The 24,394-nt window shown below is 47.3% G+C and overlaps 1 protein-coding gene across 1 annotated transcript in view; it reads left to right on the top strand.

The window, feature by feature from the left end:
• Positions 1-21,054, top strand: part of SLC25A20 (solute carrier family 25 member 20) — a 41,957-nt gene extending 20,903 nt beyond the window's left edge. Inside the window, exons 5-9 of the mRNA NM_000387.6 lie at positions 15,321-15,438; positions 18,353-18,425; positions 18,779-18,888; positions 19,349-19,473; positions 20,208-21,054. Of these exons, the coding sequence (NP_000378.1) occupies positions 15,321-15,438; positions 18,353-18,425; positions 18,779-18,888; positions 19,349-19,473; positions 20,208-20,270 (489 nt within the window). The 3' untranslated portion in view covers positions 20,271-21,054. The remainder of the gene's footprint in view (positions 1-15,320; positions 15,439-18,352; positions 18,426-18,778; positions 18,889-19,348; positions 19,474-20,207) is intronic.

Here is a 24,394-nt window from a genome sequence, read left to right as displayed (position 1 = left end):
ATTTCAAGGTTTTCAGAAACAAAAGCAATCGTAGTAGAATCAAGAACTAGTACATTATAACAAACCAACAAAAATGTCACAAGTGTAACGCGTCAGCCTGGGCCTACCCACCCTTATTAGCAACCATTTCAGGAACTCTGAAAGGTGAGTCATGTCTTAACAAATTTAGAACGGAGGCTGCTTCTGCCTGAGATGTCATGTCTTTCTTTTTTTTCTTTCTCTTTTCTTTTCTTTCTTTATTTCTTTTTTTTTGAGACAGAGTCTTGCTCTGTTGCCAGGCTGGAATGCAGTGGCATGATCTCAGATTATTGCAACCTCCGCCTCCTGGGTTCCAGCTATTCCCCTGCCTCAGCCTCCTGAATAGCTGAGACTACAGGTGTGCGCCACCACGCCCAGCTAATTTTTTGTATTTTAGTAGAGACGGGGTTTCACCATGTTGGCCAGGATGGTTTCGATCTCCTGACCTTGTGACCCACCCACCTCGGCCTCCCAAAGTGCTGGGATTACAGGAGTGAGCCACCGTGCCCAACCCTCTTTTCTTTTTTTCCTGTATTTTTGGAGATAGAATTTCGCTCTTGTTGCCCAGGCTGGAGTGCAGTGGCGCCATTGCACTCCTTGGCTCACCGCAACCTCCGCCTCTTGGGTTCAAGCAATTCTTCTGCCTTAGCCTCCTGAATCGCTGGGATTACAGGCATGCGCCACCATGCTCTGCTAATTTTGTATTTTTAGTAGAGATGGGGTTTCTCCATATTGGTCAGGCTGGTCTCGAATTCCTGACCTCAGGTGATCCGCCTGACTCAGCCTCCCAAAGTGTTGGGATTACAGGAGTGAGCCACTGTGCCTGGCCTGTGAGCCACCGTGCCTGGCCTCTTTTCTATTTTTTTGAGACAGGGTCTCACTCTGTTGCCTAGACTGGAGTGCAGTGGTATGATTTCGGCTCACTGCAACCTCTGCCTCCTGGCTTCAAGCGATTCTCCTGCCTCAGCCTCCCTAGTAGGTGGGACTACAGGCGCCCACCACCACGCCTGGCTAATTTTTGTATTTTTAATGGAGACAGGATTTTGCCATGTTGATCAGGGTGGTCTTGAGCTCCTGACCTGAGGTGATCCACCCACCATGGCCTCCCAAAGTGCTGGGGATACAGGCATGATCCACTGTGCTCAGCCATGTGTTTCTAACATTTGTCCAGAATCTCAGAGCCCTTAGAGTGTAATCATTTCTATAATTTTTTTTAAATTTTAAAAATATTATATGAGACCAAATGCAGTGGCTCATGCCTGTAATCCCAGCACTTTGGGAGGTCGAGGCGGGTGGATCACTAAGGTCAGGAGTTCGAGACCAGCCTGACCAACATGGTGAAACCCCGTCTCTACTAAAAATACAAAAATTAGCCAGGAGTGGTGGTGCATGCTTGTAATCCCAGCTACTCGGGAGGCTGAGGCAGGAGAATCACTTGAATCCAGGAGGTGGAGTTTTCAGTGAGCCAAGATTGTGCTATTGCACTCCAGCCTGAGCAACAAGAGTGAAACTCCATCTCAAAAACAAAAAGAAAAACAAAACAAAACAGAAAAACAATGTTATATGAATGGAATTGTACAGTATGTAAAGTCTTTGGATTGGCTTTTTTTTTTTTTTTTGAGATGGAGTCTTGCTCTTGTTGCTCAGGCTGGAGATCAGTGGCACGATCTCAGCTCACTGCCACCTCTTCCCCCTGGGTTCAAGTGATTCTCCTGCCTCAGCCTCCCCAGTAGCTGAGATTACAGCGCTTGCCACCACGTCTGACTAATTTTTGTATTTTTAGTAGAGATGGGCTTGCACCATGTTGGCCAGGCTGGTCTCAAACTCCTGACCTCAGGTGATCCACCCACCTCGGCATCCCAGAGTGCTGGGATTATAGGCGTGAGCCACTGTGCCTGGCCTGGATTGGCTTTAAAATTTTTTTTATTTATTTCTTTATTTTTGAGACAGGGTCTGGCTGTCTGTCACCCAGTCTCTGTAGTGCAGTGGCTGGATTCAGCACACTGCAATCTCTGCCTCCTGAGATGAAGCCATTCTTACCTCAGGCTCCTGAGTATCTGAGACTACAGGTGTGCATCACCATGCCCTGCTAGTTTTGTTTATTTTTTTAGAGATGGGGTTTTACCACGTTGCCCAGGCTGGCCTTGAAACTCCTGAGCTCAAGCGATCTGTCTGCCTTGGCCTCCCAACGTGCTGGGATTACAGGCATGAGCCATCATGCCCAGCATGGACTGGATTTTAAACTCAGCATTGGCCAGGCACAGTGGCTCACACCTGTAATCCCAGCAGTTTGTGAGGCCAAGGCAGGTTGATCACCTGAGGTCAGCAGTTTGAGACCTGCTTGGCCTATATGGAGAAACCCCGTCTCTACCAAAAATACAAAAATTAGCCAGGTATGGTTGTGCACGCCTGTAATCCCAGCTACTCGGGAGGCTGAGGCACGAGAATTGCTTGAACCTGGGAGGCAGAGGCTGCAGTGAGCCAAGATCGTGCCACTGCACTCTAGCCTGGGTGACAAAGCGAAAAACTAAATCAAAAAATAAATTAAAAAATAAATAAATAGGCTGGGTGCGGTGGCTCACGCCAGTAATCCCAGCACTTTAGGAGGCCGAGGGGGTGGATCACGAGGTCAGGAGTTCAAGACCAGCCTGGCCAAGATGGTGAAATCCTGTCTCTACGAAAAATACAAAAATTAGCCAGGTGTGGTAGCAGGCGTCTGTAATCCCAGCTACTTGGGAGCCTGAGGCAGAGAATTGCTTGAACCCGGGAGGTGAAGGTTGCAGTGAGCCGAGATTGCACCACTGCACTCCAGCCTGGGCAACAGAGCAAGACTCTGTCTCAAAAATAAATAAATTAATTAAATAAATAAACTCAGTATAATTTTTTTTTTTTTTTTTTCTGAGACAGAGTCTCGTTCAGTTGCCCAGGCTGGAGTGCAGTGGCACGATCTTGGTTCACTGCAACCTCCGCCTCCTGGTTTCAAGAGATCCTCCTGCCTCAGCCTCCCGTGGGATTACAGGCATGCACCCGCAAGCCTGGCTAATTTTTGTATTTTTAGTAGAGATGGGGGCTGTGGTGGTGGTGGGGGGGTCTCACCATGTTGGCCAGCCTGGTCTTGAACTCCTGACCTTAAGTGATCCTCCTGCCTCTGCCTCCCAAAATGCTGAGATTACAGGTGTGAGCCACCATGCCCAGCCCTCAGCATAATTTTCTAGAGATTCATTCGTATTATCACATATATGAATACTGCATTCATTTTTATTGCTGAATAGTAGTCATGGTATGGATTATCATAATTTAACTATTCTTCCACCTAACAGCATCTGTGTTGTTTTTAGTTTGAGGTTTTTAGGAATAAAGATGCCATAAACATTTGTACACAGAGGCTTTTGTCAGAAAGTAAGTCTTCATTTCTCCATTTCTCTGGGATAAATGCCTAGGAATGCAATTGTTGAGTTTTACTGTAGTTGTATCTCTAGTTTAGTTTTTTTTTTTTTGGACAAGGTCTCACAGTGTTGCCTAGACTGGAGTGCAGTGGTGTGATCATAGCACAATGTAACCTTGATCTCCTGGGCTCAAGTGATCCTCCTGCCTCAGCCTCCCAAGTAGCTGGGATGACAGGTGTGTTCCTCCATGCCAGGTTAATTTTTTATTTTTATTTATTTATTTAGAGATGGAGTCTTGCTCTGTCGCCCAAGTTGGAGTACAGTGGCACAATCTCAGTTTACCACAACCTCCTCCTCCTGGGTTCAAGCGATTCTCCTGCCTCAGCCTCCCAGGTAGCTGGGATTACAGGCATGCGCCATCATGCCTGGCTAATTTTTGTATTTTTAGTAGAGACAAGGTTTTGCCATGTTGGCCAGGCTGGTCTTGAACTCCTGACCTCAGGTGATTCACCCGCCTCCTCGGCCTCCCAAAGTGCTGGGATTATAGGAATGAGCCATCATGCTCGCCCTAAGTCTAAGAATTCTTTTTTTTTTTTTTTTTTTTTTTGAGATGGAGTCTTGCTCTGTCGCCCAGGCTGGAGTGCAGTAGCGCAATCTCAGCTCGCTGCAAGCTCCGCCTCCCGGGTTCACGCCATTCTCCTGCCTCAGCCTCCCGAGTAGCTGGGACTACAGGCGCCTGCCACCGTGCCCGGCTAATTTTTTGTATTTTTTTAGTAGAGACGGGGTTTCACCGTGATCTCGATCTCCTGACCTCGTGATCCGCCCACCTCCGCCTCCCAAAGTGCTGGGATTATAGGCGTGAGCCACTGCGCCTGGCCAGTCTGAGAATTCTTTACTTAAACCTAGATCCTGAAGATTTTCTTGTTTTTTTTTTTACAAGTTTTATTTTATTTTATTTGTTTTTTTTAAGGCATTATCTCACTCCGTTGCCCAGGCTGGAGTGCGGTGGTGCGATCTCTCCTCACTGCAGCCTCTGCCTCCTGGGTTCATGCCATTCTCCTGCTTCAGCCACCCAGGTAGCTGGGACTACTGGCACACACCACCACGCCCAGCTCATTTTTGTATTTGCAGTAGAGACGGGGTTTCACCATGTTGGGCAGGATGGTCTCGATCTCCTGACCTCGTGATCCCCCCTCCTTGGCCTCCCAAAGTGCTGGGATTATAGGCATAAGCCACTGCGCCCAGCCGCCAGTCCGGTCTTGAACTGGCCTCAAGCGATCCACCTGCCTTGGCCTCCCAAAGTGGTAGGACTACAGGCGTGAGCCACCACGCCTGGCATATTTTATTTTTTTGAGACGGAGTCTTGCTCTGTTGCCCAGGCTGGAGGGCAGTGGCGTGATCTTGGCCCATTACAACCCCTGCCTCCCAGATTCAAGCGATTCTCCTGCCTCAGCCTCCCCAGTAGCTGGGATTATAGGCACACACCACCACACCCAGCTAGTTTTTGTATTTTTAGTAGAGACAGGGTTTTACCATGTTGGCCAGGCTGGTCTCCAACTCCTGACCTCAGGTGATTTGCCCATCTCGGCCTCCCAAAGTGCTGGGATTATAGACATGAGCCACCGTACCCGGGCCTTCTATAGGTTTTATTTATCATTTTATGTTTTACATTCAAGCCTGTGACCTCATTTGAGTCAATTTGTTTTTGTTTTTGAGACAAGGTGTTACTCTATTGCCCAGGCTGAAGTGCAGTGGTAAAATCATGGCTCTCTGCAGCCTCAGCATCCTGGGCTCAAACAGTTCTTCTGCCTCAGCCTCCTGAGTAGCTGGGATTACAGGCATGTGCCACCAAAAACAGCTAATTAAACACCTTTTTTTTTTTTTTTTTGTAAGGATGGGGTCTTGCCATGTTGCTCAGGCTAACTTCGAACTCCTGGGCTCAAGCATTCCTCCTGCCTTGGCCTCCCAAAGTGCTGGGATTACAGGTGTGAGCAACCACGCCTGACCAATTTTTGTATAATATATGAGTAGTAGGACAGAGTTCTTTTTTTTTTCTTTTACCTTTGACCTCCGCTTATATCATTTATTGAAAAGACTGTCTTCATTCCACTGAACTGTGTTTGCACCTTTTAAAAAATCAACTGGGGGCCGGGCATGGTGGCTCATACCTGTAATCCCAGCACCTTGGGAGGCCAGGATGGGTGGATCACTTGAGGTCAGGAATTTGAGATCAGCCTGGCCAACATGGTAAAACCCTGGCTTTACTAAAAATACAAAATTATCCAGGCATGGTGGCGTGCACCTGTAATCCCAGTTACTCGGGAGGTTGAGGCAGGAGAATTGCATGAACCTGAGAGGTGGAGGTTGCAGTGAGCCAAGATTGTGCCACTGCACTCCAGCCTGGGCAACAGAGCAATACTGTCTTAAAAAAAAAAAATCATTGGGCAGGCCAGGCAGAGTGGCTCACACCTGTGATCCCAGGACTTTGAGAGGCCAAGGGTGGTGGATTGCTTGAGCCCATGAGGCTGAGACCAGCTTGTGTGGCACGGCAAAACCCCATCTCTAAAAAAAAAAAAAAAAAAAAAAAAAAAAATTAGCTGGGCATGGTGGTATGCACCTGTAGTCCCAGCTACTTGCGGGTGGTGAGGTGTGAGGATCAGCCCAGGAAGTTAAGGCTGCAGTGAGTGAGGATTGTGCCACTGCACTAAACCCTGGGTGACGGAGTGAGACCCCGTCTCAAAAAAACGAATCAATTGGACATATTTGTGTGATTTGTTTCTCTCTCTCTCTTTTTTTTTTTTTTTTTTGAGATGGAGTTTCGCTCTTTGTTGCCCAGGCTGGAGTGCAATGGTGCGATCTTGGCTCACCACAACCTCTGCCTCCCGGGTTCAAGCGATTCTCCTGCCTCAGTCTCCTGAGTAGCTGGGATTACAGGCACGCGCCACCATGCCCGGCTAATTTTGTATTCTTAGAAGAGATGGGGTTTCTCCACATTGGTCAGGCTGGTCTCGAACTCCCTACTTCAGGTGATCCGCCCACCTCAGCCTCCCAAAGTGCTGGGATTACAGGCGTGAGTCACTGCGCCCAGCCTTGTTTCTCTATTCTACTCCATTTATCTATATGTCTATCTCTTCACCAACACCACACAGTCTTGATAACTATAGCTGTGTATAATAAACCTTGAAATTCAACAGACTTATTCCTCCCACTTGATTCTCTTTTTTTTTTTTTTAAATTGTTCCAGCCTCCTAGAACAATTTTCTACTCCTTTGTCTTTCCACGTAAATTGTAGGATAATTTAGAAAATTTAGAAAAATCTTGGTGAGATTTTGATAGGAATTATGTTAAACGTACAGATCAATTCGGGCAGAATTGACACCTTTATTATTTTGAATCCTCCAATCCAGGAAGAATGGTATATCTTTCCATTTATTTAAAAATCCAATTTCTGGCCGGGCATGGTGGCTCACGCTTGTAATCCCAGCATTTTGAGAAGCTGAGGCAGGTGGATCACATGAGGCCAGGAGTTTGAGACCAGCCTGGCCAATATGGCAAAACCCCGTGTCTAATAAAAATACAAAAATTAGCCGTGCATGGTGGTGCAGGCCTGTAATCCCAGCTACTCTGGTGGCTGAGGCACAAGAATCACTTAACCCGGGAGGTGGAGGTTGCAGTGAGCTGAGATCACGCCACTGCACTACTGCACTCCGGCCTGGATTATAGAGTAAGACCCTGTCTCAAAAAAAAAAAAAAAAAAAAAATCTGATTCCTGGCCAAGCTTGGTGGCCTATCATCCTAGCGCTTTGGGAGGCCAAGGCAGGTGGATCGCTTGGGCTCAGGTGTTTGAGACCAGCCTGGGCAATATAGCGAAACCCCATCTCTTAAAAAAAAAAAATTAGCTGGGCATGGTGTTGCGTGCCTGTAGTCCCAGCTACGTGGTGGGCTAGGGCAGGAAGACAGCTTGAACCCAGGAGATGACAAAGTCGAGATACTGTCTCAAAAAAAAAAAAAAAAAAAGAAAAAGAAAAATTTGATTTCTTTCATCAGCATTGTGTAGTTTTCAGGTTTTCTTACATTTACACCTAAGTGTTTCTTTTTCTGTTTGCCTTGTAAAATGGTGTTGTAAATGATATTATAATTTTATTTGGTTGTCCACATGTTCATTGCTTGTTTGGGAAACACGATTGATTTTTGTATAATCTTGTATTCTACAACCTTTCTGAACTTCCTTACTGCAACCTCCGCCTCCTGGGTTCAAGCAACTCTCCTGCCTCATCCTCCCGCGTAGCTGGGACTACAGGTTCATGCCATCACCCTTGGCTAATTTTTGTATTTTTTGGTAGAGATTGGGTTTCACCATGTTGGCCAGGCTGGTCTCAAATTCCTGACCTCAAGTGATCCGTCTGCCTCGGCCTCCCAAAGTGCTGGGATTATAGGCGAGAGCCACCATGCCAAGCCTATTTCCTTTTTTTTAAGACAATGCCTGGACTAAAGTGCAGAGACATGCATCACAGCTAACTGTAGCTTGATCTCCCAGGCTCAAGCGATCCTCTCACCTAGCCCCTGGGTAGCTGGGCCTACAGACATGTATCACCACACCTGGCTAATTTTTTAGTTTTTTGTAGAGACAGGCTCTTCCTTTGTTACCCAGGCTGGTCTCAAACTCCTGGGATCAAGCAATCTGCCTACCTTGGCCTCCCCAAGTGCTAGAATTACAGGTATGAGCCACCATGCCTGGCTTCTTTTCTTCTTTCTCTTTTTTCTAGAGACAGAGTCTCACCCTGCTGCATGGCTGGAGTGTAGTGGTCTGATAACGGCTTACTGCATCCTGAAACTCTGGGGTTCAAATGATCTTCCTGCCTCAGCCTCCTATTAGCTGGGACTACAGGTGTCACCCGGCCTGGCTAACTTTTTGTAGAAATGGGGTCTTGCTTAATTGCCCTCGCTGATCTCCAACTCCTGGGATCAAGTGATCCTCCCACCTTGACCTCCCAGAACGCTAGGATTATAGCCATGAGCCACTGTACCTGGCCTATTTAAAAAAAAGGTTTTTCGGCCGGGCACAGTGGCTCATGCCTGTAATCCCACTTTGGGAGGCTGAGGTGGGCATATCACCTGAGGTTGGTCACCTCAATCTCCTGACCTCGTGATCCAGCTGCCTTCGCCTCCCAAAGTGCTGGGAGTACAGGTGTGAGCCACCGTGCCCAGCCAAAAAATTTTTTTCAAGCATGTTCATAATTGCTCATTGAAGGATTTTTATCATGGCTGCTTTAAAATCTTTGTCAGATAATTCTAATGTCTCTGACATCTTGGTGTTGGCAAATATTGCTAGTCTTTTTTTCTTTCAGTTTGAGGTCTTCCTTGTTTTGAATATGACAAGTGATTTTTCAATTGCAACCTGGATATTTACATATTGAGTTGAGGGTTTTTCTGATACTGCTCCAGCAGGAAGGGAAGGATGCAGCCTCATTACAGCTAGGTGGAGGTAGAAATCAAGGTTCCTATTTGGCCTCTGTTGACACCTGACGATGGGGTGCTCATTTTTATTGCTAAGTAAGTGTGGGAGTTCCAGTGTGTCCACTAGCACTCTAGGGTGGCAAGGTGCTGGTACCAGCTGTCAGGGATGCAAGTCCTAATTCCTTTTTTTAAAATTTAATTTATTTTTAAACAGAAGGGTGCAGGGCTGCACAAGGCCTTGGCTGCAGCCCTTCCCCTAATTTCTTACTTGGCTTTCTCTGACTCCACGCTGGTAACATGTTGGGTACTTCATTACAACTCCATAAAGGTGAAAGTCTATGCTTCCCACTAAGTCTTTGCTGGTGTGGGTGGGGGCCACAGCTTTTTAAATGGTGTTTGGCTGGAGTAGAGGACCTTTCCTGGTCCTTTTTGTAGAGAATGCATGCTTTTGTTGGGGCTTCTTTTTGGTTTGTACCTTTTGATATTTTTGGATTGTCAGCTTTTTCAGCTGACATATGCAGGGTAAAAGGAAAACCCAAGGAACTCACCACTATCTCATTCCTCAGGTCCCAAGGTTTCTCTGCTGCCGTTGGTCCAAACTTTCAGACCCTTCATATGTTTATTTTAAATATAACATCCAGAGTTTTTTGGTTGTAGTTAGCAGGAGGAATAGGGAAAAGTACATCTACTCCATCTTCCCAGAAGTAGAAGTCTATCTATTGATTTTGACCTAGGGAATGTTTGTGTTCAGTGGCTTTGTCCATCGCTCTTTTCCCTTATGGCTTCTTCCATTTTGTCTATGCCTGAAGTCCTTTTCTACTCCTACATCAGACATTCACTTAGTCCTACTCTTTTCTTACACCCTCCTACTCTGCTGTGTGACCGCTTCGTACCTCTCCTCTTCTCAACCCCCCACCTTCTCAGTGGATGAGCTGGTTTCTGACTTCACTGAGAAAATGGAAACCATCAGAAGAGGATTTCACCAGATGCCTTCTGCTACCTCCATGTACCTACCTGCTGCCGCCCTGCTTGTTTCTTTTCTTTTCTTTTTTTTTTTAGATGGAGTTTTTGCTCTTGTTGCCTAGGCTGGAGTGCAGTGGCGCCATCTCGGCTCACCGCAACCTCCGCCTCCCAGGTTCAAGTAATTCTCCTGCCGCAGCCTCCCGAGTAGCCGGGATTACAGGCATGCACCTCCACGCCTGGCTAATTTTTGTATTTTTAGTAGAGACGGGGTTTCTCCATGTTGGTCAGGCTGGTCTCGAACTCCTGACCTCAGGTGGTCCGCCTGCCTCGGTCTCCCAAAGTGTTGGGATTACAGGCATGAGCCACCATGCCCGGCCACCCTGCTTGTTTCTACCAAGGATGGCCTGTGCTTCCGCTTGATCCCAGGCCTCTTTGTGCACTGGATCCCATCTCCTCTTGCCCAGCCACAGACATTATTTGTTTTTGTTTTTTTTTTTTCCCTCAGCCACTGACATCAGTTTTTGCTCTCCACTTGATCATTCTCATCAGGAATAAAGGCATAAACATGCTTGCATTTTTCATCTTAAAAATACAAACTTTGGGCTGGGTGCGGTGGCTCACGCCTGTAATCCCAGGACTTTGGGAGGCCATGGTGAGTGGATCACCTGAGGTTAGGAGTTCAAGACCAGCCAGACCAATATGGAGAAACCCCATCTCTACTAAAAATACAAAAAAAAAAAAAAATTACCCAGGCATGGTGGCGCATCCTGTAATCCCAGCTACTTGGGAGGCTGAGGCAGGAGAATCACTTGAATCCGGGAGGCAGAGGTTGTGGTGAACCGAGATCTCGCCACTGCACTCCAGCCTGGGCAACAAGAGCGAAACTCCATCTCAAAAAAGAAAACAAAAACAAACTTTGGGCACAGTGGCTCACACCTATAATCTCAGCACTTTTGGAAGCTGAGGTATATGGATCACCCAAGCCCAGGAGTTTGAGACCAGCCTGGGCAACATGGCAAAACCCCATCTCTACAAAAAAATACAAAAATTAGCCATTCATGGGCCAGGCGCGGTGGCTCACACCTGTAATCCCAGCACTTTGGGTGGCCGAGGCGGGTGAATCATCTGAGGTCAGGAGTTCAAGACCAGCCTGGCCAAAATGATGAAACCCCATCTCTACTAAAAATACAAGAAATTAGCCAGGCATGGTGGCAGGTGCCTGTAATCCCAGCTACTCGGGAGTCTGAGACAGGAGAATTGCTTGAACCTGGGAGGCAGAGGTTGCCGTGAGTCGAGATCGCGCCATTGCACTCCAGTCTGGGCTAGAAGATTACAACTCCGTCTCAAAAAAAGAAAAAAAAAATAGGTGTGGTGGCATGCACCTGTAGCCCTAGCTATTCAGGAGTCTGAGGTGGGAGGATCGTTTGAGCACAGGAAGTTGAGCCTGCAGTGAGCAGAGATCATCGGGAACCTGTCTCAAAAAAACTTCTGTCCAGTCTTTTCCACACCAATTTCTATGCTTCATGACTTTGCTCCCTCTTACACAAAAACTCTTTGAAAAAGTTGTTTCTTGTTTTTGTTTTTGTTTTTTGTTTTTTTTTTGAGATGGAGTCTTGTTCTGTCACCCAGGCTGGAATGCAGTGGCATAATCTCGGCTCACTGCAACCTCTGCTTCCCAGGTTCCAGCAATTCTCCTGCCTCAGCCTCCCGAGTAGCTGGGAATACAGGTGCACACCACCACGCCCTGCTAATTTTTGTACTTTTAGTAGAGATGGGGTTTTGCCTTGTTGGCCAGGCTGGTCTTGAACTCTTGACCTAAGGTGATCCACCCACCTTGGCCTCCCAAAGTGCTGGGATTACAGACGTGAGCTGCCACACCAGCCTGTTTCTGGTTTTTTTATACCTGCCATTTCCAGTTCCTCTCCTCTAATTGTTAAACCTGCTCCAATCTGGCTTTTGCCTCACAACTGCAAATAAAGTGGTTTTATCAAGGTCACTAGTGACTTTTTTTTTTCCTTTTTTTGAGACAGAGTCTCGCTCTGTCGCCAGGCTGGAGTGCAGTGGCATGATCTCAGCTCACTGCAACCTCCGACTCCCTGGTTCAAGCAATTTTCCTGCCTCAGCCTCCCGAGTAGCTGGGATTACAGGCACACGCTACCAGGCCCAGCTAATTTTTTTTTTGTATTTTTAGTAGAGACGGGGTTTCACCATGTTGGCCAGGATGGTCTCCATCTCCTGACCTCGTGATCCACCTGCCTCGGCCTCCCAAAGTGCTGGGATTACAGGCGTGAGCCACCATGCCCAGCTGGTCACTAGTGACTTTTACACTTCAGTGGTTAGTTCTCAGTACTTATCTTTCTTTTCTTTTCTTTTTTTTTTTTTTGTTTGAGACAGAGTCTCGCTTTGTCTCCCAGGCTGGAGTGCGGTGGCGCGATATCAGCTCACTGCAACCCAGGCCTCCTGGGTTCAAGTGATTCTTGTGCCTCAGCCTCCCAAGTAGCTGGGACTACAGGCACACACCCAGCTAATTTTGGGGGACTTTTTTTTTTTTTTTTTTTTTAGAAACAGGGTTTCACCATGTTGACCAGGCTGGTCTGGAACTCTGGCCTCAAGTGATCTGGCCACTTCAGCCTCCCAGAGTGCTGAGATTACAGGAGTAAGTCACCGCACCCAGCCTTGTCTCATGACTTTTAGACACCATTTTTATGCTGATGACTCAAATTTATATCTCTGTGGGCGCTGTGGCTCACGCCTGTAATCCCAGCACTTTGGGTGGCCGAGGCGGATGGATCACGAGGTCAAGAGATCGAGACCATCCTGGCCAACATGGTGAAACCCCATCTCTACTAAAAATACAAAAATTAGCTAGGTGTGGTGGCACGTGCCTGTAGTCCCAGCTACTTGGGAGGCTGAGGCAGGAGAATCACTTGAACCCAGGAGGCGGAGGTTGCAGTGAGCTGAGATTGCACTACTGCACCCCAGCCTGGTGACAGAGCAAGACTCCGTCTCAAAAAAAAAAAATTATATCTCCAACTCAGACTTTTCCTGAACTCCAGACTAGTTTATCCAACATTTCTATGTGGATGCTAATAGGTGCCTCAAAGTCATCATGTACAAAACTGAGCTCCTGGTCTTCCCTGTACCTCCTCTACTCTCAGCATTTTCCAGTTCAGTTGGTAACAATAGCATCCTTGTAATTATTCAGGATTATAGCCCAGGAGTCCTCTTAAATTCCTCTTTTTCTCCCACGGTTTAGATTCCATCTGTTGAGCAATTAGGCTGGCTTTCAACATTATCCCAAATCCATCCCTTCACACCATCTCCATTGTGGCCATACTACTTCAGGCCACCTTCATCGCTGTCCTGGATGACAGTGAGGGCCTCCTTACTTGTTTCCCTTCTTATAGTCTGTACATACATAACAATGATAGGATTCTGTAAATATGTTATTCCTATGCCCAATCCTCCACGGCCCCCCAGGTCACTGTGAATTGGCTCCAGCATTCTCAGATAACATGACCTTCCTTCTGTTCCTCAGACATACCAGGTACATATGTCTGGATACTTTGGGGAAGTTATACCAAAAAAAAAAAAAACCATTGATACTCAATTGACATTATCTTACATTTATTATTTTTAGAAAAATAGAAATCTTTCTTATTGAAAACTTTTCCCAACTAGAATTAGGACTCTTTTTATTGACCTCTTATTTTGTAATCCTCAGATATTTTAGAGTTTTATTTATACAAAGCCTATTGCTTAATTCACATATTTGTTGCTTTTTTTTTTTTTTTTTTTTTTTTTTTTTGAGACAGAGTCTTACTCTGTCACCCAGGCTGGAGTGCAGTGGTGCAATCTCGGCTCACTACAACTTCCGCCTCCCAGGTTCAAGTCATTTTCCTGCCTCAGCCTCCTGAGTAGCTGGGATTACAGGCATCTGCCACCACGCCCAGCTAAGTTTTGTATTTTTAGTAGAGATGGGGGCTCTCACCATGTTGGCCAGGCTGGTCTCGAACTCCTGGCCTCAGGTGATCTGCCTGCCTTGGCCTCCCAAAGTGCTGGGATTACAGGCGTGAGCCACCGTGCCCGGCTTTTATTGCTATTTTGAATGGGATCCATTTCTTGTATTGATTGATTGATTGAGATAGAGTTGTGCTCTGTCTCCCAGGCTGGTGTGCAGTGGCACGATCTCGGCTCACTGCAAACTCCACCTCCTGGGTTCAAGCGATTCTCCTGCCTCAGCCTCCTGAGTAGCTGAGATTACAGGCATGTACCACCACGCCTGGCTAATTTTTGTATTTTTAGTAGAGACAGGGTTTCACCATGTTGGTCAGGCTGGTCTCAAACTCCTGACCTCATGATCTGCCCGCCTCAGCCTCCCAAAGTGCTGGGATTACAGGTGTGAGCCACCGTGCCCGGCCTTTTCTATTATTTTTTAACTGGTTAATCCTGATATGTAAGAAAGCTATTTGGTTTATGTATTTGTAAGTGTTTCTCTTTGGAACTGTTAAAGCTGAACTCCCTTTCCAGCTTTAATTATTGTTTGGTTGATGCTCTTGTGTGTTCTGACTCCTCTTGGTCCTGAACAAGCGGGATCCCTGTGTGGATCCTGCATGGAGCTGTCTTTCAGATCTTTCCTGGGATTACCCCTGCCTACCCCCAGGTTCTTGGCTCTCAGGGGCGGGGTAGGAGCCTCTCTTTGGCCCTCCTCTGGCTCTGCATAGGAGCCCTCTCTGAACAGGACCCCTGTCTGGGAACTTAGAGCTTTGAGTGAAATTTTCTGTTCACCTTTTCTTAACCAACTCTCATGACCAGGTAGGCTTGGAATGCAGTTGGTCTTCAGGGGATATTTGTTGAAGGAATAAATGAATGACTAAAGTATTTGTCGCTTCCTTTTTAGACCTTCCAAATAGCTTTATTGTGTTTGACAGATTTCCTCAACTTATTTTTTATTTTTAAATTTTGAGACAGTCTCACTCTGCTGCCCAGGCTGGAGTGCAGTGTGGTACGATATGTTTTCTAACTGCAACCTCTGCCTCCCAAGTTCAGGCGATTCTCCTGCCTCAGCCTCCTGAGCAGCTGACTACAGGCGCCCACCACCATGCCCAGCTAATTTTTGTATTTTTCGTAGAGACAGGGTTTCACCGTGTTGACCAGGCTGGTTTCAAACTCCTGACCTCAGGCGACCTGCCTGCCTCGGCCTCCCAAAGTGCTGGGATTATAGGCATGAGCCACTGCACCCGGCCTCCTCAACTTGTTTTTCAAATTTTCTGTTGGTTTTATTTCTAGTCAATGTGAATGTTTTCTGATATTTTCACCTAGCCTTATTTCATAGTACCTGCCCCAAGATCACACATTCCAGATACTTATCAATTTGACAGTGAAGTCTTTTATTGCTGTAACACATAATGGCCATACTTACTTTGTAGTCTCCTGTAACCTGCTGGGTCTGTGACTCTGATGTTTCTGACTTAATGATCCTCTCCTCCCTCCCAGATTCAGGCTTCTTCAGGAGAAAGCAAGTACACTGGTACCTTGGACTGTGCAAAGAAGCTGTACCAGGAGTTTGGGATCCGAGGCATCTACAAAGGGACTGTGCTTACCCTTATGCGAGGTAACCTTTCAGGCCTCCACTTGAGGTCACCTGGGGAGGTCACCTGAGGTGGGTCTGCTGCAGAAGGTCTTGCCTGGATTGCCAGATTAGCCTTGGCACCATGCATGTCACATCTCTGACAATACTGGCAGTAAGCATCTCCCCCTGGCCAGCATGGACGTAGATTAGGATGAGGGGACCTTCCATCTTTCCCAGGTGTCTGCAGGGGTAGAAGTCATGGCATCACAGTTGGAGGGGAGTGGCAAGTAGATAGAAATCATCTCTGGAGGGAGGAGTGGGAAGAAAGTGTGACTTGGGGACAGTGGTGATCTCCCTGGTTTTGAGAAGTATGTCCTGTTATAGTGGCAGTAGGAAAGGCAGAGACAGTCTCACTCTTGTCCTGAGCTGGCAGCTTAGAGGAAGGCCAGATACAACAACTGTGCTTATAACTGTGGGCATGTCACTTGCCCACATGGACTTTCACACTGAGAGAAAACCTTATTTATTTTTTTACTTATTTTTATTTTATTTTTTGAGATGGAGTTTCACTCCTGTTGCCCAGGCTGGAGTGCAATGGCACAGTCTTGGCTTACTGCAACCTCTGCCTCCCAGGTTCAAGCAATTCTCCTCCCTCAGCCTCCCAAGTAGCTGGGATTACAAGCACATGCCACCATGTCTGGCTATTTTTTTGTATTTTTAGTAGAGATGGGGTTTCACCATGTTGGCCGGGCTGGTCTCAAACTCCTGACCTCAGGTGATGCACCTGCCTCGGCCTCCCAAGGTGCCGGGATTACTGGTGTGAGCCACCGCACCCGGCCTTATTATTATTATTTTTTGAGACAGAGTCTTGCTCTGTCACCCAGGCTGGAATGCAGTGGTGCATTCTCAGCTCACTGCAACCTCCACTTCCTGGGTTCAAGTGACTCTCCTGCCTCAGCCTCCTGAGTAGCTGGGGTTACAGGTGTGTGCCACCATGCCTGGCTAATTTTTGTACTTTTAGCAGAGATAGGGTTTCACTATGTTGGCCAGGCTGGTCTCGAACTCCTGACCTCAGATGATCCACCTGCCTTGGTCTCCCAAAGTGCTAGGATTATAGGCGTGAGCCACTAAGCCCAGCTGAGGGAACTTTAATGAAATTATATCATGTGTGTTTGTACTCACTTACACCAGTGCTTGGCCCAGAGCAGCATCCCATAGCTGCAAAGTGATTGTTGCAAATAGGATGTGGCTGCTAAGGAACTTCTCAAGAATCCCTGAAGGGTCTAGTGCCAAGCTTGGCTTTTCTACATTCAAGAAATCTGTGGGGGCCGGGTATGGTGGCTCACACTTGTAATCTCAGCACTTTGGGAGGCTGAGTTGAGAGGATCACTTGAGCCCAGGAGTTTGAGACCAGCCTGGGTAAAATAGTGATACCCTGTCTCTATTAAAATAATAATAGCTGGGCGTGGTGGCTCACCCCTGTAATCCCAGCACTTTGGGAGGCCGAGGCGGGCGGATCACGAGGTCAGGAGTTCAAGACCAGCCTGACCAATATGGTGAAACCCCATCTCTACTAAAAATACAAAAATTAGCCGGGCGTGGTGGCGCATGCATCCCAGCTACTCAGGAGGCTGAGGCAGGAGAATTGCTTGAACCCAGGAGGCAGAGGTTGCAGTGAGCCGAGATTGCACCATTGCACTCCAGCCTGGGCGAGAGAGCGAGACTCCGTCTCAAAAAAAAAAAAAAAAAGTAAAGTAATAATAATAATAATACTATATTCTTTTTCTTTTTTTTTTGAGACAGAGTCTTGCTCTGTTGCCCAGCCAGGAGTGCATTAGTGTGATCTTGGCTTACTGCAACCTCCACCTTCTGGGTTCGAGTGATTCCTGTGCCTCAGCCTCCTGAATAGCTGGGATTACAGGCATGTGCCACCAGGCCGGGCTAATTTTTGTATTTTTTGTATTATTATTATTTTTTTTTGAGATGGAGTCTTGCTCTGTCACCAGGCTGGAGTGCAGTGACTCGATCTCAGCTTACTGCAACCTCCACCTCCTGGATTCAAGCGATTCTCCTGCCTCAGTCTCCTGAGTAGCTGGGACTACAGGCATGCACCACCATGCCCGGCTAATTTTTGGTAGAGACAGGGTTTCACCATGTTGGCCAGGATAGTCTCAATCTCTTGACCTCGTGATCCGCCCACCTCGGACTCCCAAAGTGCTGGGATTACAGGTGTGAGCCACCACGCTTGGCCATTTTTGTATTTTTGTATTTTTTTTTTTTTTTGAGATGGAGTCTCACTCTGTCAGCCAGGCTGGAGTGCAGTGGCGCAGTCTCAGCTCACTGCAACCTCCACCTCCCGGGTTCAAGCCATTCTCTTGCCTCAGCCTCCTGAGTAGCTGGGATTACAGGTGCCCGCCACCACGCCTGGCTAATTTTTATATTTTTAGTAGAGACGGGGTTTCACCATGTTGGTCAGGCTGGTCTCAAACTCCTGACCTTGTGATCCGCCCGCCTCGGCCTCCCGAAGTGCTGGGATTAAAGGCATGAGCCACTATGCCCGGCCCATTTTTATATTTTTAGTAGAGACGAGGCTTTCGCCATATTGGCCAGACTGGTCTCGAATTCCTGGCCTCAGGTGATGTGCCTGCCTCAGCCTCCCAAAGTGCTCGGATTACAGTTATGAGCTACCATGCCTGGCATTTTTTTCTTTTTAATGCTTTTTTAGTCTACATAAATTACTACCATACGCTAATGTTTAGAAAGCAAATAAATTGAACCAAATCTGGTCACCCAATTAAAAAACAATTTTACTAATAATTCAGGCCAAGCGCGGACCTCCTGGCCTCAAGCAATCCCCCTGCCTCAATCTCCTAAATTGCTGAGATTACAGGTGTGTACCACCATGCCTGGCGAAGAGTTTATGTACTTTAATTCACCTTTTTCTTGCCACTAACAGATGTCCCAGCTAGTGGAATGTATTTCATGACATATGAATGGCTGAAAAATATCTTCACTCCGGAGGGAAAGAGGTGAGGAAAACATAACTTGGAAGCCACTTTCCCCAGTCATGGGTGCGTTGCCCTCTCCTGTGGGTGAATCTGAAAGCAGAAGTAGTTGTTGTTCCTGGCTCCATGTCTGCTTTCCTCTTGTGGCTGCTGAGGTCCAGCTAGCTCTTCTTACTCTGTGCCTCAGCCAGTGGAGCAAATATTTGAAACAGGTGCATGAAACCTTCTCCAAGGAGTGCCAGCAGCACTGGCCTTATACCTCCTCCCTCCAACCAGTTTCTGCCTGTCTGTAACTGCCCTGTCTGCCACAGGCAGGATAGTCTGAATGCCACTCTCACAGCCTTTGTCTAACTGGGGCTGTGGTTGGTGTTATACAGGGTCAGTGAGCTCAGTGCCCCTCGGATCTTGGTGGCTGGGGGCATTGCAGGGATCTTCAACTGGGCTGTGGCAATCCCCCCAGATGTGCTCAAGTCTCGATTCCAGACTGGTGAGTGGAAGGTAGTGGGGTGGACAGGGGGAGAGTGGGTCCCCAGCACTGGCTAATCCTGGGGTGCAAAGCTCATAAGGCCCTAGGGATACTCACTCTCCATGGCAGCACCTAGCATCTGCCTGACCAATATTCTCCCTCACAGTCATTTGCATTCTAGGAACCCTAGATTCATTTTCATGACAGCCTAAACACAAGGTAAGTGTGATAAGAAGTCAAGTCCACTCTTCCTCCCCCACATGAACAGAAGGGCTGTTTCATTCTTCTTCCCTCGTTTCTATTCCCTTGGCACAAGTAATTCAGGCATTTGTGCATTTGTCCCAAGGTGAACTGTTGTCTATGGACTGGTCCCACATGACCTGCAAGGTGTCCTTTCCCTGTGCTAGTCCTGACCCTTCAGGAAGACTTAACTGCTAGTTTCTCCTTCCTGAAGCCTTAAAAATTGGGTTCTGCCCCACAGCACCTCCTGGGAAATATCCTAATGGTTTCAGAGATGTGCTGAGGGAGCTGATCCGGGATGAAGGAGTCACATCCTTGTACAAAGGGTTCAATGCAGTGATGATCCGAGCCTTCCCAGCCAATGCGGTGAGTAGCTGGCAGGGCTGTGCTTTCCCTCTGGGGCTCAGGGCAGGGTGCATGTGGTTTGACTTTTGCTTGTTCCTGGGATAGGACTGGGGTCTCAGTTTTCCCAAAGCCCTATCTTCAGCCAGAGCATTCCTTATTTGCTCCCTTCCTTGAAGCTGTCAGGAGGATTTGCCTTTGGGGATCTCTGAGGTGAGGGGCTTTGATTTCCTGACCTGGCCATTAGAAGTGGGCAGTTGTGAGGCCAGGCATGGTGGCTAGTGCCTGTAATCCCAGCACTTTGGGAGGCTAAGGCAGGTGGATCATCTGAGGTCAGGAGTTTGAGACCAGCTTGGCCAACATGGGGAAACACCGCCTCTACTAAAAATACAAAAATTAGCTGGGCGTGGTGGCGGGTGCCTGTAATCCCAGCTACTCAGGAGGCTGAGGCAGGAGAATTACTTTAACCTGGGAGGCAGAGATTGCAGTGAGCCGAGATTGTACCATTGCACTTCAACCTGGGTGACAAGAGCAAAACTCCATCTCAAAAAAAAAAAAAAAAGAAGTGGGCAGTTGTGGAATATAAATTTTCTTCTCCTCTTAAAAATGAGAGAGTAGAGCTTGCATCCTTGATGTGGAGTGGGTGTGGGGTTAGGGAGGGGCTCTGGTCCTGACAGGGCCAGCAAAGCATAGTGCTTTGAATAGTCTATGAATAGTTATTCCTGCTGGCTTTTTTCTTCCTCCCAATCCCTTCTTAGGCCTGTTTCCTTGGCTTTGAAGTTGCCATGAAGTTCCTTAATTGGGCCACCCCCAACTTGTGAGGCTGAAGGCTGCTCAAGTTCACTTCTGGATGCTGGAAGCTGTCGTTGAGGAGAAGGAGTAGTAAGCAGAACTAAGCAGTCTTGGAGGGCAAGGGGAGGGGAATGGTGAGATCCGAGCCCTGTGCATGGACTTGGTGAGACTGTTGCCTTAATGACATCCTGCACCGTGTATAACTTAGTGTGTCATTTTGAAACTTGAATTCATTCTTATCAATTTAAGGGATCTTAAAAGGATTTGGAAATGGAACAAGTAGCTTCCAGACCAGATACTACCTGTGGCAAGAATGCTGCCTACCAGTTAACTGCTGGTCCTACCACAGTCAAAGTATTCCTCATTAAAGAGAGAATCTCAGGTTCTCACTGGAGGCACTGTGCATATTTTCAACCAGATCACCAGGAGCTGAGATCTTCTTCAGTCCCTAGCCAGGAATACCCATTTGATTTCCAGGGTGCCATCTAATCCTGGGCTGTACATGTGGATATGGACTTGAGGCCCACCTCTGTGTCCAAGTGGATTGAGCATATATGCCTAGGAGGAGATAGACTGTTAATCGTTGGATTTTGATTTTTTTTTTTTATGCCTGCAAATAATCAAAAGTAAAACTGGAGTAGCCTAATTTTCTGGGAGCAGGTGGAGAACTTTCCCTCCTACACAGTGAGGACAGTCCCAGTCTGCTGGGATAAGTGAGAAAGCCCAGGGTGTAGGAAGGCCCTTTTTACATACTCTTTTCTCATGAGAGCTCACTATTTTAACAATAAACAATAAACGTTGTTTCTAATTTTTGCATTGTGTTATATTTTCTTCTTTTGATTCTGGGACATTTCAGCAGGCAGCCTGTAGCCTTGGTGGAGGCTTTCAGGGATCCAGTATTCTTCCCTGGGAACCTTAGGCTGGGGATCCAGCAGGAGGAGGTGGAGGAGGAGGAAGTTTTGGCTGGCTCTGCCTTCTCTGACTGCCCTAGCCCCGGCTGCTCTAGGGAGGGTGTGTGGGGTGGTGTGACCCGACTGGTAATTGTTCACACAGGCCTCAATGCAAGCCTGGCAGACAGGCCCTCCCAAGGCCCAGCCTGCAACCCATCCCTTCATTTATTCCCCTCTCTTCCCTGAGCACCATGGGTGTCTGAGCTAACAGATGGAGAGTCAGTTGTTCTAAAAGGACAAAAGCAATCTCGGGTTTTCATGTGGGCTTTGGAGTTGCTGTGCGATCTGAGGTAGCTAGCTTAACTTTACTAATCAGGCAGATTATGCTATCCAGGTGTGTCCAGAAAAGGTGAGGGAGTTGGAGAGTCATAAGCTAGATTATTACTTTCTGGTGGAGGGGAGAGCTTGCTGAAGCTACTGGAGCTGGGCTTTTCTGGCATTATCCCATCTGGTGGTCACAGTTACAGTTACAGTTCCACTGGCACTTCCTGTCTCACTGCAGCTGCATAGAGACTCCTGGACTTTGGCTTTAGAACCATCACTCTGTCTCTAGTTTTGAACTGTTAAAAAAAAAAAAAAAAAAAGCTGGGAGCACTGGATCATGCCACGCTTGTAATCCCAACACGTTGGGAAGCCAAGGAAGGAGGATCACTTGAGTCCAGGAGTTCAAGACCAGCCTGGGCAATATAGTAAGACTCTGTCTGTACACAAAATTTTTTAAAAATTAAAAAATTAGTCAGACATGGTGGTGTGTGCCTGTAGTCCCAGCTACTCAGGACGCTAAGGTAGGAGGATCACTTGAGCCCAAGAAGTTGAGGCCACAGTGAGCCGAGTGTGCATCACTGCACTCCAGCCTGGGCAACAGAATCAGACCTGGTAAGAAGGGAAGGGACACACCCCTATCTGGGAGTTGGGGCTGTGATCAACCCAGCAGGAAGTTGAAGACTTGGGACTTTAAAGGAGGCTTTATAGCTTGGAATATGTTTCTAAATGACCAGATAGGAATTATGGCCGAGGAGAAAATAACATTTTTGGCCGGGCACAGTGGCTCACGCCTATAATCCTAGCACTTTGGGAGGCCGAGGCGGGTGGATCACTTGAGGTCAGGAGTTCAAGACCAGCCTGGCCAACACGGTGAAACCCCATCTCTACTCAAAATACAAAAATTAGCCAGGCATGGTGGGGCATGCCTGTAGTCCCAGCTACTCGGGAGGCTGAGGCAGGAGAATCACTTGAACCTGGGAGGCAGAGGTTGCAGTGAGCCAAGATCGCCTTACTGCACTCCATGCTGGGTGTCAGAGCGAGATTCCATCTCAAAAAAAAATTTATTTTTTGTTAATTAAATTTTTTAGAGACAGGGTCTCACTTTGTCCGCCAGGCTAGAGTGCAGTGGTGAGATCAGAGCTCAGCTCATTGCTGGGCTCAAATGATCCTCCCACCTCCACCTCCCAAGAAGGTGGAACTATAGACACTTATACAGTACACCTGTAGTGTACTGCTGTGCCTGGCTATTAAAAAAAAATCTGTAGAGATGATGTCTCACTATGTGGCCAAGGATGAACAGTTTTTAAAGATGAAAATTGTGTATCCTCTGTCTGGCAAGGTTAATTAAATGTTAAGCCTGCTTCCTCTAACGCTGCAGGATGTCTTTGTTTAATATCTCATTGATTTGAAGATGGCCATATATGTGTCTCCTGAAGCTCTTCTTTTTAAATCTTATTTTATTAGAAAAAAATTTTTTGAGATAGGGTTCACTCTGTTACCTAGGCTGGAGTGCAGTGGCATGGTCATGGCTCACTGAAGCCTTGACCTCCTGGGCCCACGTGATCTTCCCACCTCAGCCTCCTGAGTAGCTGGGACCACAGGCATGTGTTACTATGCCCAGCTAATTTTTTATATTTATTTTTTGTAGAGATGGAGTCTTCCTATGTTGCCCAGGCCGGTCTTGAACTCCTGGGCTCCTGCCTCAGCCTCCTAAGTGCTGGGATTACAGGCATGCACCACTGTGCTCAGCCTGAAGCTCTTCTTGATATCACCCAGTCCTGAGACTGTTCTGAATTTTAAATTTAAATTTTTTTTTTTTTTTGAGATGGAGTCTCGCTCTGTCACCCAGGCTGGAGTGCAGTGGCATGATCTCAGCTCACTGCAACCTCCACCTCCCGGGTTCAAAAGATTCTCCTACCTCAGCCTCTGGGTCTACAGGCACCTGCCACCACGCTCAGCTAATTTTTGTATTTTTTGTAGAGATGGGGTTTCCTCATGTTGGTCAAGCTGGTGTTGAACTCCTGACCTCAAGTGATCCACCCACCTCAGCCTCCCAAAGTGCTAGGATTACAGGTGTGAGCCACCACACCCGGCTGAGACTATTCAAAAACCTCAGCTTTTGCCTAGAAGCCCCTGTAAATGTATTTGCATTTCAGCCAAATGCCAGCCATTCCCATGGCTTAGGATCACTTTTACAGTCTGTGCCTCTGGATAATTTGCCCTTTGAAAAATTTTCCATTTTAAAATGGAGTATTTTGGTTCTTTGATGTTAGTGATGGTAGATTATTTTAGTCCTTTGGGTGTTCAATAGATGTTAAGTCAAATAGGGAAGCCCCTGGAGGCATATTTGTGATGGGAGCAGAGCAGATGTTGAGTAACTCCCTCCTGGCTGGTGCTTCCTTTTTATGATGCACTTTGAAATGCCACCTGTTCCTGATATATCTCTTCTCTTCCTGACAGGGGTAAGGAGTAGGGGAAAATTGGGGCCTCCCTAGCAATTTCTCTTTCACAGACAGTCACAACTGGGAGCCAGACAGTGATTTTTTTAAACAACCAATTGGTGATAAAAGCCTCACCCAGGCATCAAGAAGCATATAACTGGGCCAAAGGTGAGGGAAGGAGCACAGGTTGTTGCAACAGTGATTGTTAAAAGCACAGTAGCACCATTTCAGCTATAAAGTCATACTATCTCTACCCCACAGTTGTTTCCCTACAGCCTTTTTTTTTTTTTTTGAGACAGAGTCTTGCTCTGTCACCCAGGCTGGAGGCAGTGGAGCGATCTCAGCTCACTGCAACCTCCGCCTCTTGGGTTCAAGTGATTCTCCTGCCTCAGCCTCCCGAGTAGCTGGGACTACAGGTGCACACCACCACGCGTGGCTAATTTTTGTATTTTCAGTACAGACGGGGCCAGGCTGGTCACGAACTCCTGACCTCAGGCG

This window comes from Homo sapiens, chromosome 3, assembly GCF_000001405.40.
Source record: "Homo sapiens chromosome 3, GRCh38.p14 Primary Assembly".
Lineage (NCBI taxonomy): Eukaryota > Metazoa > Chordata > Mammalia > Primates > Hominidae > Homo > Homo sapiens.
Note: the sequence above shows the minus strand (reverse complement) of the source record. Positions and strands in the feature narration are given on the sequence as shown.